The sequence below is a fragment of the Homo sapiens genome, chromosome 1 (genome assembly GCF_000001405.40).
Source record: "Homo sapiens chromosome 1, GRCh38.p14 Primary Assembly".
NCBI classification, from domain to species: domain Eukaryota; kingdom Metazoa; phylum Chordata; class Mammalia; order Primates; family Hominidae; genus Homo; species Homo sapiens.
Genome location: NC_000001.11, coordinates 123,036,950 through 123,050,803, shown reverse-complemented (window position 1 = coordinate 123,050,803; position 13,854 = coordinate 123,036,950). Strand labels below are relative to the sequence as shown.

Below are 13,854 nucleotides of genomic sequence, written 5' to 3'. Positions count from 1 at the left end.
AATCTACACAACACAAGGAAGTTACTGGGAATTCTTCTGTCTAGCCTTACAAGAAAAAAACCCGTTTCCAACGAAGGCCTCTAAATGGTCAAAATATCCACGTGCAGACTTTACAAACAGAGTGTTTCCAAACTTCTGAATGAAAAGAAAAGTTAAACTCTGAGAGTTGAACGCACACATCGCAGAGCAGTTTCTGAGAATGATTCTGTCTAGTTTTTATACGAAGATATTTCCTTTTCTGCCTTTGGCCTCAAAGCGCTTAAAATCTCCATTTGCAAATTCCACAAAAAGAGTGTTTCAAATCTGCTCTGTGTAAATGAAAGTTCAACTCTGTGAGTTGAACACACACAACACAAGGAAGTTACTGGGAATTCTTCTGTCTAGCAGAATAGGAAGAAATCCCGTTTCCAACGAAGGCCTCAAGGAGGTCTGAATATCCACTTGCAGACTTTACAAACAGAGTGTTTCCTAACTGCTCTATGAAAAGAAAGGTTAAACTCTGTGAGTTGAACGCACACATCACAAAGGAGTTTCTGAGAATCATTCTGTCTAGTTTCTATAGGAAGATATTTCCTATTCTACCATTGACCTCAAAGCGGCTGAAATCTCCACTTGCAAATTCCACAAAAAGAGTGTTTCAAGTCTGTTCTGTGTAAAGGATCATTCAACTCTGTGATTTGAATACACACAACACAAGGAAGTTACTGAGAATTCTTCTGTATAGCAGAATATGAAGAAATCCCGTTTCCAACGAAAGCCTCGAAGATGTCTGAATATCCACTTGCAGACTTTACAAACAGAGTGTTTCCTAACTGCTCTATGAGAAGAAAGGTTAAACTCTGTGAGTTGAACGCACACATCACAAAGGAGTTTCTGAGAATCGTTCTGTCTAGTTTTGAAACGAAGATATTTCCTTTTCTGCCATTGACCTTAAAGCGCTTGAAATCTCCACTTGCCAATTGCACAAAAAGAGTGTTTCAAATCTGCTCTGTCTAAGGGAACGTTCAATTCTGTGAGTTGAATGTACACAACACAAGGAAGTTACTGGGAATTCTTCTGTCTAGCCTTACATGAAAAAAACCCGTTTCCAACGAAGGCCTCTAAGTGGTCAAAATTTCCACGTGCAGACTTTACAAACGGAGTGTTTCCAAACGGCTGAATGAAAAGAAAAGTTAAACTCTGAGAGTTGAACGCACACATCACGCAGCAGTTTCTGAGAATGATTCTGTCTAGTTTTTATACGAAGATATTTCCTTTTCTGCCTTTGGCCCCAAAGCGCTTGAAATCTCCACTTGCAAATTCCACAAAAACAGTGTTTCAAATCTGCTCTCTCCAAATGAAAGTTCAACTCTGTCAGTTGAATACACACAACACAAGGAAGTTACTGAGAATTCTTCTGTCTAGCATAATATGAAGAAATCCCGTTTCCAACGAAGGCCTCAAAGGGGTCTGAATATCCACTTGCAGACTTTATAAACAGAGTGTTTACTAACTGCTCTATGAAAAGAAAGGTTAAACTCTGTGAGTTGAACACACACATCACAAACGAGTTTCTGAGAATCATTCTGTCTAGTTTCTATAGGAAGATATTTCCTATTCTACCATTGACCTCAAAGCGGCTGAAATCTCCACTTGCAAATTCCACAAAAAGAGTGTTTCAAGACTGTTCTGTGTAAAGGATCATTCAACTCTGTGAGTTAAATACACACAACACAAGGAAGTTACTGAGAATTCTTCTGTCTAGCCTTATATGAAAAAAACCCGTTTCCAACGAAGGCCTCAAAGAGGTCTGAATATCCACTTGCAGACTTTACAAACAGAGTGTTTCCTAACTGCTCTATGAAAAGAAAGGTTAAACTCTGTCAGTTGAACGCACACATCACAAAGGAGTTTCTGAGAATTATTCTGTCTAGTTTCTATAGGAAGATGTTTCCTATTCTACCATTGACCTCAAAGCGGCTGAAATCTCCCCTTGCAAATTCCACAACAAGAGTGTTTCAAGTATGCTCTGTGTAAAGGATCGTTCAACTCTGTGAGTTGAATACACACAACACAAGGAAGTTACTGAGAATTCTTCTGTCAAGCAGAATATGAAGAAATCCCGCTTCCAACGAAGGCCTCAAAGAAGTCTGAATATCCACTTGCAGACTTTACAAACAGAGTGTTTCCCAACTGCTCTATGAAAAGAAAGGTTGAACTCTGTGAGTTGAACGCACACATCACAAAGGAGTTTCTGAGAATCATTCTGTCTAGTTTTGAAACGAAGATATTTCCTTTTCTGCCATTGACCTTAAAGCGCTTGAAATCTCCACTTGCCAATTGCACAAAAAGAGTGTTTCAAATCTGCTCTGTCAAAGGGAACGTTCAACTCTGTGAGTTGAATGTACACAACACAAGGAAGTTACTGGGAATTCTTCTGTCTAGCCTTACATGAACAAAACCCGTTTCCAACGAAGGCCTCTAAGTGGTCAAATTATCCACGTGCAGACTTTACAAACAGAGTGTTTCCAAACTGCTGAATGAAAAGAAAAGTTAAACTCTGAGACTTGAACGCACACATCGCAGAGCAGTTTCTGAGAATGATTCTGTCTAGTTTTGAAACAAAGATATTTCCTTTTCTGCCTTTGGCCTCAAAGCGCTTGAAATCTCCACTTGCAAATTCCACAAAAAGAGTGTTTCAAATCTGCTCTGTGTAAATGAAAGTTCAACTCTGTGAGTTGAACACACACAACACAAGGAAGTTACTGGGAATTCTTCTGTCTAGCATAGTATGAAGAAATCCCGTTACCAACGAAGGCCTCAAAGAGGTCTGAATATCCACTTGCAGAGTTTACAAACAGAGTGTTTCCTAACTGCTCTATGAAAAGAAAGGTTAAACTCTGTGAGTTGAACGCACACATCACAAAGAAGTTTCTGAGAATCATTCTGTCTAGTTTCTATATGAAGATATTTCCTATTCTACCATTGACCTCAAAGCGGCTGAAATCTCCACTTGCAAATTCCACAAAAAGAGTGTTTCAAGTCTGCTCTGTGTAAAGGATCGTTCAACTCTGTGAGTTGAAAACACACAACACAAGGAAGTTTCTGAGAATTCTTCTGTCTAGCATAATATGTAGAAATCCCGTTTCCAACGAAGGCCTCATAGAGGTCTGAATATCCACATGCAGACTTTACAAACAGAGTGTTTCCTAACTGCTCTATGAGAAGAAAAGTTAAACTCTGTGAGTTGAACGCACACATCACAAAAGATTTTCTGAGAATCATTCTGTCTGGTTTTTATACGAAGATATTTCCTTTTCTACCATTGACCTCAACGCGGCTGAAATCTCCACTTGCAAATTCCACAAAAAGTGTGTTTCAAGTCCGCTCTGTGTAAAGGATCGTTCAACTCTGTGAGTTGAATACACACAACACAAGGAAGTTACTGAGAATTCTTCTGTCTAGCACAGTATGAAGAAATCCCGTTTCCAACGAAGGCCTCAAAGAGGTCTGAATATCCACTTGCAGACTTTACAAGCAGAGTGTTTCCTAACTGCTCTATGAAAAGAAAGGTTAAACTCTGTGAGTTGAACGCACACATCACAAAGGAGTTTCTGAGAATCATTCTGTCTAGTTTTGAAACGAAGATGTTTCCTTTTCTGCCATTGACCTTAAAGCGCTTGAAATCTCCACTTGCCAATTGCACAAAAAGAGTGTTTCAAATCTGCTCTGTCTAAGGGAACGTTCAACTGCTTGTGAGTTGAATGTACACAACACAAGGATAGTTACTGGGAATTCTTCTGTCTAGCCTTACAGGAAAAAAACCCGTTTGCAACGAAGGCCTCTAAGTGGTCAAAATATCCACGTGCAGACATTACAAACAGAGTGTTTCCAAACTGCTGAATGAAAAGAAAAGTTAAACTCTGAGAGTTGAACGCACACATCGCAGAGCAGTTTCTGAGAATGATTCTGTCTAGTTTTTATACGAAGATATTTCCTTTTCTGCCTTTGGCCTCAAAGCGCTTGTAATCTCCGCTTGCAAATTCCACAAAAAGAGTGTTTCAAATCTGCTCTGTCTAAATGAGAGTTCAACTCTGTCAGTTGACTACACACAACACAAGGAAGTTACTGAAAATTCTTCTGTCTAGCATAATATGAAGAAATCCCGTTTCCAACGAAGGCCTCAAAGAGGTCTGAATATCCACTTGCAGACTTTACAAATAGAGTGTTTCCTAACTGCTCTATGAAAAGAAAAGTTAAACTCTGTGAGTTGAACGCACACATCACAAAGGAGTTTCTGAGAATCATTCTGTCTAGTTTTTCTACGAAGATATTTCCTTTTCTACTATTGACCTAAAAGCGGCTGAAATCTCCACTTGCAAATTCCACAAAAAGAGTGTTTCAAGTCTGCTCTGTGTAAAGGATCGTTCAACTCTGTGAGTTGAATACACACAACACAAGGAAGTTACTGAGAACTCTTCTGTCTACCAGAAAATGAAGAAATCCCGTTTCCAACGAAGGCCTCAAGGAGGTCTGAATATCCACTTGCAGACTTTACAAACAGAGTGTTTCCTAACTGCTCTATGAACAGAAAGGTTAAACTCTGTGAGTCGAACGAACACATCACAACGCAGTTTGTGGGAATGATTCTGTCTAGTTTTGAAACGAAGATATTTCCTTTTCTGCCATTGACCTTAAAGCGCTTGAAATCTCCACTTGCCAATTGCACAAAAAGAGAGTTTCAAATCTGCTCTGTCTAAGGGAACGTTCAACTCTGTGAGTTGAATGTACACAACACAAGGAAGTTACTGGGAATTCTTCTGTCTAGCCTTACATTAAAAAAACCCGTTTCCAACGAAGGCCTCTAAGTGGTCAAGTTATCCACGTGCAGACTTTACAAACAGAGTGTTTCCAAACTGCTGAATGAAAAGAAAAGTTAAACTCTGAGAGTTGAACGCACACATCGCAGAGCAGTTTCTGAGAATGATTCTGTCTAGTTTTTATACGAAGATATTTCCTTTTCTGCCTTTGGCCCCAAAGCGCTGGAAATCTCCACTTGCAAATTCCACAAAAACAGTGTTTCAAATCTGCTCTCTCTAAATGAAAGTTCAACTCTGTCAGTTGAATACACACAACACAAGGAAGTTACTGAGAATTCTTCTGTCTAGCAGAATATGAAGAAATCCCGTTTCCAACGAAGGCCTCAAAGAGGTCTTAATATCCACTTGCAGACTTTACAAACAGAGTGTTTCCTAACTGCTCTATGAAACGAAAGGTTAAACTCTGTGAGTTGAACGCACACATCACAAAGGAGTTTCTGAGAATCATTCTGTCTAATTTTTATACGAAGATATTTCCTTTCCTACCATTGACCTCAAAGCGGCTGAAATCTCCACTTGCAAATTCCACAAAAAGAGTGTTTCAAGTCTGCTCTGTGTAAACGATCGTTCAACTCTGTGAGTTGAATACACACAACCCAAGGAAGTTTCTGAGAATTCTTCTGTCTAGCAGAATATGAAGAAATCCCGTTTCCAACGAAGGCCACAAGATGTCAGAATATCCACTTACAGAATTTACAAACAGACTGTTTCCTAACTGCTCTATGAAAAGAAAGGTTAAACTCTGTGAGTTGAACAAACACATCACAACGCAGTTTGTGGGAATGATTCTGTCTAGTTTTTATAGGAAGATATTTCCTTTTCTACCTTTGACTTCAAAGCGGCTGAAATCTCCACTTGCAAATTCCACAAAAAGAGTGTTACAAGACTGCTCTGTGTAAAGGATCGTTCAACTCTGTGAGTTGAATACACACAACACAAGGAAGTTACTGAGAATTCTTCTGTCTAGCCTTACATGAAAAAAACCCGTTTCCATCGAAGACCTCTAAGTGGTCAAATTATGCACGTGCAGACTTTACAAACAGAGTGTTTCCAAACTGCTGAATGAAAAGAAAAGTTAAACTCTGAGAGTTGAACGCACACATCACAGAGCAGTTTCTGAGAATGATTTCTGTCTAGTTTTTATACGAAGATATTTCCTTTTCTGCCTTTGGCCCCAAAGCGCTTGAAATCTCCACTTGCAAATTCCACAAAAACAGTGTTTCAAATCTGCTCTCTCTAAATGAAAGTTCAACTCTGTCAGTTGAATAAACACAACACAAGGAAGTTACTGAGAATTCTTCTGTCTAGCATAATATGAAGAAATCCCGTTTCCAACGAAGGCCTCAAGGAGGTCTGAATATCCACTTGCAGACTTTACAAACAGAGTGTTTCCTAACTGCTCTATGAAAAGAAAGGTTAAACTCTGTGAGTTGAACGCAGACATCACAAAGGAGTTTCTGAGAATCACTCTGTCTAGTTTTTATAGGAAGATATTTCCTTTTCTACCTTTGACTTCAAAGCGGCTGAAATCTCCACTTGCAAATTCCACAAAAAGAGTGTTTCAAGTCTGCTCTGTGTAAAGGATCGTTCAACTCTGTGAGTTGAATACACACAACACAAGGGAAGATTCTGAGAATTCTTCTGTCTAGCAGAATATGAAGAAATCCCGTTTCCAACGAAGGCCACAAGATGTCAGAATATCCACTTACAGAATTTACAAACAGACTGTTTCCTAACTGCTCTATGAAAAGAAAGGTTAAACTTCTGTGAGTTGAACGAACACATCACAACGCAGTTTGTGGGAATGATTTCTGTCTAGTTTTGAAACGAAGAAATTTCCTTTTCTGCCATTGACCTTAAAGCGCTTGAAATCTACACTTGCAAATTGCACAAATAGAGTGTTTCAAATCTGCTCTGTCTAAGGGAACGTTCAACTCTGTGAGTTGAATGCACACAACACAAGGAAGTTACTGGGAATTCTTCTGTCTAGCCTTACATGAAAAAAAACCCGTTTCCAACGAAGGCCTCTAAGTGGTCAAAATATCCAAGTGCAGACTTTACAAACAGAGTGTTTCCAAACCGCTGAATGAAAAGAAAAGTTAAACTCTGAGAGTTGAACGCACACATCACGCAGCAGTTTCTGAGAATGATTCTGTCTAGTTTTTATACGAAGATATTTCCTTTTCTTCCTTTGGCCCCAAAGCGCTTGAAATCTCCACTTGCAAATTCCACAAAAACAGTGTTTCAAATCTGCTATCTCTAAATGAAAGTTCAACTCTGTCAGTTGAATACACACAACACAAGGAAGTTACTGAGAATTCTTCTGTCTAGCATAATATGAAGAAATCCCGTTTCCAACGAAGGCCTCAAAGAGGTCTGAATATCCACTTGCAGACTTTAAAAACAGAGTGTTTCCTAACTACTCTAGGAAAAGAAAGGTTAAACACTGTGAGTTGAACGCACACATCACAAAGGAGTTTCTGAGAATCATTCTGTCTAGTTTTTATACGAAGATATTTCCTTTTCTACCATTGACCTCAAAGCGGCTGAAATCTCCACCCTGCCAATTCCACAAAAAGAGTGTTTCAAGTCTACTCTCTGTAAAGGATCGTTGAACTCTGTGAGTTGAAAACACACAACAGAACGAAGTTTCTGAGAATTCTTCTGTCTAGCAGAATATGAAGAAATCCCGTTTCCAACGAAGGCCACAAGATGTCAGAATATCCACTTACAGACTTTACAAACAGAGTGTTTCCTAACTGCTCTATGAACAGAAAGGTTAAACTCTGTGAGTTGAACGAACACATCACAACGCAGTTTGTTGGAATGATTCTGTCTAGTTTTGAAACGAAGATATTTCCTTTTCTGCCATTGATCTTAAAGCGCTTGAAATCTCCATTTGCCAATTGCACAAAAAGAGTGTTTCAAATCTGCTCTGTCTAAGGGAACGTTCAACTCTGTGAGTTGAATGTACACAACACAAGGAAGTTACTGGGAATTCTTCTGTCTAGCCTTACAGGAAAAAAACCCGTTTCCAACGAAGGCCTCTAAGTGGTCAAAATATCCACGTGCAGACTTTACAAACAGAGTGTTTCCAAACTGCTGAATGAAAAGAAAAGTTAAACTCTGAGAGTTGAAGGCACACATCGCAGAGCAGTTTCTGAGAATGATTCTGTCTAGTTTTGAAACGAAGATATTTCCTTTTCTGCCTTTGGCCTCAAAGCGCTTGAAATCTCCACTTGCAAATTCCACAAAAAGAGTGTTTCAAATCTACTCTGTGTAAATGAAAGTTCAACTCTGTGAGTTGAACACACACAACAGAAGGAAGTTACTGGGAATTCTTCTGTCTAGCATAGTATGAAGAAATCCCGTTTCCAACGAAGGCCTCAAAGAGGTCTGAATATCCACTTGCAGAGTTTACAAACAGAGTGTTTCCTAACTGCTCTATGAAAAGAAAGGTTAAACTCTGTGAGTTGAACGCACACATCGCAAAGAAGTTTCTGAGAATCATTCTGTCTGGTTTCTATAGGAAGATATTTCCTATTCTACCATTGACCTCAAAGCGGCTGAAATCTCCACTTGCAAATTCCACAAAAAGAGTGTTTCAAGTCTACTCTGTGTAAAGGATCGTTCAACTCTGTGAGTTGAATACACACAACACAAGGAAGTTACTGAGAATTCTTCTGTCTAGAAGAATATGAAGAAATCCCGCTTCCAAAGAAGGCCTCAAAGAGGTCTGAATATCCACTTGCAGACTTTACAAACAGAGTGTTTCCCAACTGCTCTATGAAAAGAAAGGTTGAACTCTGTGAGTTGAACGCACACATCACAAAGGAGTTTCTGAGAATCATTCTGTCTAGTCTTTATACGAAGATATTTCCTTTTCTACCATTGACCTCAAAACGGCTGAAATCTCCACTTGCAAATTTCACAAAAAGAGTGTTTCAAGTCTGCTCTGTGTAAAGGATCGTTCAACTCTGTGAGTTGAATACACACAACACAAGGAAGTTACTGAGAATTCTTCTGTCTAGCAGAATATGAAGAAATCCCGTTTCCAACGAAGGCCTCAAGGAGGTCTGAATATCCACTTGCAGACTTTACAAACAGAGTGTTTCCTAAATGCTCTATGAACAGAAAGGTTAAACTCTGTGAGTTGAACGAACACATCACAACGCAGTTTGTGGGAATGATTCTGTCTAGTTTTGAAACGAAGATATTTCCTTTTCTGCCATTGACCTTAAAGCGCTTGGAATCTACACTTGCAAATTGCACAAATAGAGTGTTTCAAATCTGCTCTGTCTAAGGGAACGTTCAACTCTGTGAGTTGAATGCACACAACACAAGGAAGTTACTGGGAATTCTTCTGTCTAGCCTTACAGGAAAGAAACCCGTTTCCAACGAAGGCCTCTAAGTGGTCAAAATATCCACGTGCAGACTTTACAAACAGAGTGTTTCCAAACTGCTGAATGAAAAGAAAAGTTAAACTCTGAGAGTTGAACGCACACATCGCAGAGTAGTTTCTGAGAATGATTCTGTCTAGTTTCTATAGGAAGATATTTCCTATTCTACCATTGACCTCAAAGCGGCTGAAATCTCCACTTGCAAATTCCACAAAAACAGTGTTTCAAATCTGCTCTCTCTAAATGAAAGTTCAACTCTGTGAGTTGAATACACACAACACAAGGAAGTTACTGAGAATTATTCTGTCTAGCAGAATATGAAGAAATCCCGTTTCCAACGAAGGCCTCAAAGAGGTCTGAATATCCACTTGCAGACTTTACAAACAGAGTGTTTCCTAACTGCTCTATGAACAGAAAGGTTAAACTCTGTGAGTTGAACGCACACATCACAAAGGAGTTTCTGAGAATCATTCTGTCTATTTTCTATAGGAAGATATTTCCTATTCTACCATTGACCTCAAAGCGGCTGAAATCTCCACTTGCAAATTCCACAAAAAGAGTGTTTCAAGTCTGCTCTGTGTAAAGGATCGTTCAACTCTGTGAGTTGAATACACACAACACAAGGAAGTTACTGATAATTCTTCTGTCTAGCAGAATATGAAGAAATCCCGTTTCCAACGAAGGCCACAAGATGTCAGAATATCCACTTACAGAATTTACAAACAGACTGTTTCCTAACTGCTCTATGAAAAGAAAGGTTAAACTCTGTGAGTTGAACGCACACATCACAATGAAGTTTCTGAGAATCATTCTGTCTAGTTTTGAAACGAAGATATTTCCTTTTCTGCCATTGACCTTAAATCGCTTGAAATCTCCATTTGCCAATTGCACAAAAAGAGTGTTTCAAATCTGCTCTGTCTAAGGGAACGTTCAACTCTGTGAGTTGAATGTACACAACACAAGGAAGTTACTGGGAATTCTTCTGTCTAGTTGAATATGAAGAAATCCCGCTTCCAACGAAGGCCTCAAAGAAGTCTGAATATCCACTTGCAGACTTTACAAACAGAGTGTTTCCCAACTGCTCTATGAAAAGAAAGGTTGAACTCTGTGCGTTGAACGCACACATCACAAAGGAGTTTCTGAGAATCATTCTGTCTAGTTTTTATACGAAGATATTTCTTTTTCTACCATTGACCTCAAAGCGGCTGAAATCTCCACCCTGCCAATTCCACAAAAAGAGTGTTTCAAGTCTACTCTGTGTAAAGGATCGTTGAACTCTGTGATTTGAAAACACACAACACATCGAAGTTTCTGAGAATTCTTCTGTCTAGCAGAATATGAAGAAATCCCGCTTCCAACGAAGGCCTCAAAGAAGTCTGAATATGCATTTGCAGAATTTACAAACAGAGTGTTTCCCAACTGCTCTATGAAAAGAAAGGTTGAACTCTGTGAGTTGAACGCACACATCACAAAGGAGTTTCTGAGAATCATTCTGTCTAGTTTTTATACGAAGATATTTCCTTTTCTACCATTGACCTCAAAGCGGCTGAAATCTCCACTTGCAAATTCTACAAAAAGAGTTTTTCAAGTCTACTCTGTGTAAAGGATCGTTCAACTCTGTGAGTTGAAAACACACAACACAACGAAGTTTCTGAGAATTCTTCTGTCTAGCAGAATATGAAGAAATCCCGTTTCCAACGAAGGCCACAAGATGTCAGAATATCCACTTACAGAATTTACAAACAGACTGTTTCCTAACTGCTCTATGAAAAGAAAGGTTAAACTCTGTGAGATGAACGAACACATCACAACGCAGTTTGTGGGAATGATTCTGTCTAGTTTTGAAACGAAGATATTTCCTTTTCTGCCATTGACCTTAAAGCGCTTGAAATCTCCATTTGCCAATTGCAGAAAAAGAGTCTTTCAAATCTGCTCTGTCTAAGGGAACGTTCAACTCTGTGAGTTGAATGTACACAACACAAGGAAGTTACTGGGAATTCTTCTGTCTAGCCTTACATGAAGAAAACCCGTTTCCAACGAAGGCCTCTAAGAGGTCAAAATATCCACGTGCAGACTTTACAAAGAGAGTGTTTCCAAACCGCTGAATGAAAAGAAAAGTTAAACTCTGAGAGTTGAACGCAGACATCACGCAGCAGTTTCTGAGAATGATTCTGTCTAGTTTTTATACGAAGATATTTCCTTTTCTGCCTTTGGCCCTAAAGCGCTTGAAATCTCCAATTGCAAATTCCACAAAAACAGTGTTTCAAATCTGCTCTCTCTAAATGAACGTTCAACTCTCTCAGTTGAATACACACAACACAAGGAAGTTACTGAGAATTATTCTGTCTAGCCTTATATGAAAAAATCCCGTTTCCAACGAAGGCCTCAAAGAGGTCTGAATATCCACTTGCAGACTTTACAAACAGAGTGTTTCCTAACTGCTCTATGAAAAGAAAGGTTAAACTCTGTGAGTTGAACGCACACACCACAAAGGAGTTTCTGAGAATCATTCTGTCTAGTTTTTCTACGAAGACATTTCCTTTTCTACTATTGACCTCAAAGCGGCTGAAATCTCCACTTGCAAATTCCACAAAAAGAGTGTTTCAAGTCTGCTCTGTGTAAAGGATCGTTCAACTCTGTGAGTTGAATACACACAACACAAGGAAGTTACTGAGAATTGTTCTGTCTAGCAGAATATGAAGAAATCCCGTTTCCAACGAAGGCCACAAGATGTCAGAATATCCCCTTACAGAATTTACCAAACAGACTGTTTCCTAACTGCTCTATGAAAAGAAAGGTTAAACTCTGTGAGTTGAACGAACACCATCACAACGCAGTTTGTGGGAATGATTCTGTCTAGTTTTTATAGGAAGATATTTCCTTTTCTACCTTTGACTTCAAAGCGGCTGAAATCTCCACTTGCAAATTCCACAAAAAGAGTGTTCCAAGTCTGCTCTGTGTAAAGGATCGTTCAACTGTGTGAGTTGAATACACACAACACAAGGAAGTTACTGAGAATTCTTCTGTCTAGCCTTACATGAAAAAAACCCGTTTCCAACGAAGGCCTCTAAGTGGTCAAATTATCCACGTGCAGACTTTACAAACAGAGTGTTTCCAAACTGCTGAATGAAAAGCAAATTTAAACTCTGAGAGTTGAACGCACACATCGCAGAGCAGTTTCTTGGAATGATTCTGTCTAGTTTTGAAACGAAGATATTTCCTTTTCTGCCTTTGGCCTCAAAGCGCTTGAAATCTCCATTTGCAAATTCCACAAAAAGAGTCTTTCAAATCTGATCTGTGTAAATGAAAGTTCAACTCTGTGAGTTGAACACACACAACACAAGGATGTTACTGGGAATTCTTCTGTCTAGCCTTATAGGAAAAAAACCTGTTTCCAACGAAGGCCTCAAAGAGGTCTGAATATCCACTTGCAGACTTTACAAACAGAGTGTTTCCTAACTGCTCTATGAAAAGAAAGGTTAAACTCTGTGAGTTGAACGCACACATCACAAAGGAGTTTCTGAGAATCATTCTGTCTAGTCTTTATACGAAGATATTTCCTTTTCTACCATTGACATCAAAGCGGCTGAAATCTCCACTTGCAAATTCCACAAAAAGAGTGTTTCAAGTCTGCTCTGTGTAAAGGATCGTTCAACTCTGTGTGTTGAATACACACAACACAAGGAAGTTACTGAGAATTCTTCTGTCTAGCACAATATGAAGAAATCCCGTTTCCAACGAAGGCCACAAGATGTCAGAATATCCACTTACAGACTTTACAAACACAGTGTTTCCTAACTGCTCTATGAACAGAAAGGTTAAACTCTGTGAGTTGAACGAACATATCACAACGCAGTTTGTGGGAATGATTCTGTCTAGTTTTGAAACGAAGATATTTCCTTTTCTGCCGTTGACCTTAAAGCGCTTGAAATCTACACTTGCAAATTGCACAAATAGAGTGTTTCAAATCTGCTCTGTCTAAAGGAACGTTCAACTCTGTGAGTTGAATGCACACAACACAAGGAAGTTACTGGGAATTCTTCTGTCTAGCCTTACATGAAGAAAACCCGTTTCCAAAGAAGGCCTCTAAGTGGTCAAAATATCCACGTGCAGACTTTACAAACAGAGTGTTTCCAAACCGCTGAATGAAAAGAAAAGTTAAACTCTGAGAGTTGAACGCACACATCACGCAGCAGTTTCTGAGAATGATTCTGTCTAGTTTTTCTACGAAGATATTTCCTTTTCTACTATTGACCTCAAAGCGGCTGAAATCTCCACTTGCAAATTCCACAAAAAGAGTGTTTCAAGTGTGCTCTGTGTAAAGGATCGTTCAACTCTGTGAGTTGAATACACACAACACAAGGAAGTTACTGAGAATTCTTCTGTCTAGCATTATATGAAGAAATCCCGTTTCCAACGAAGGCCTCAAGGAGGTCTGAATATCCACTTGCAGACTTTACAAACAGAGTGTTTCCCAACTGCTCTATGAAAAGAAAGGTTAAACTCTGTGAGTTGAACGCACACATCACAAAGGAGTTTCTGAGAATCATTCTGTCTAGTTTCTATATGAAGATATTTCCTATTCTACCATTGAC

General features: G+C 39.2%; 1 annotated feature.

The window, feature by feature from the left end:
• Nucleotides 1-13,854: part of a centromere (Linear centromere model derived predominantly from reads generated in PMID: 17803354. This region does not represent an actual centromere sequence, as long-range ordering of repeats and unmapped WGS contigs is not provided by the model. For details of model production, see http://arxiv.org/abs/1307.0035.) that runs on past both edges of the window.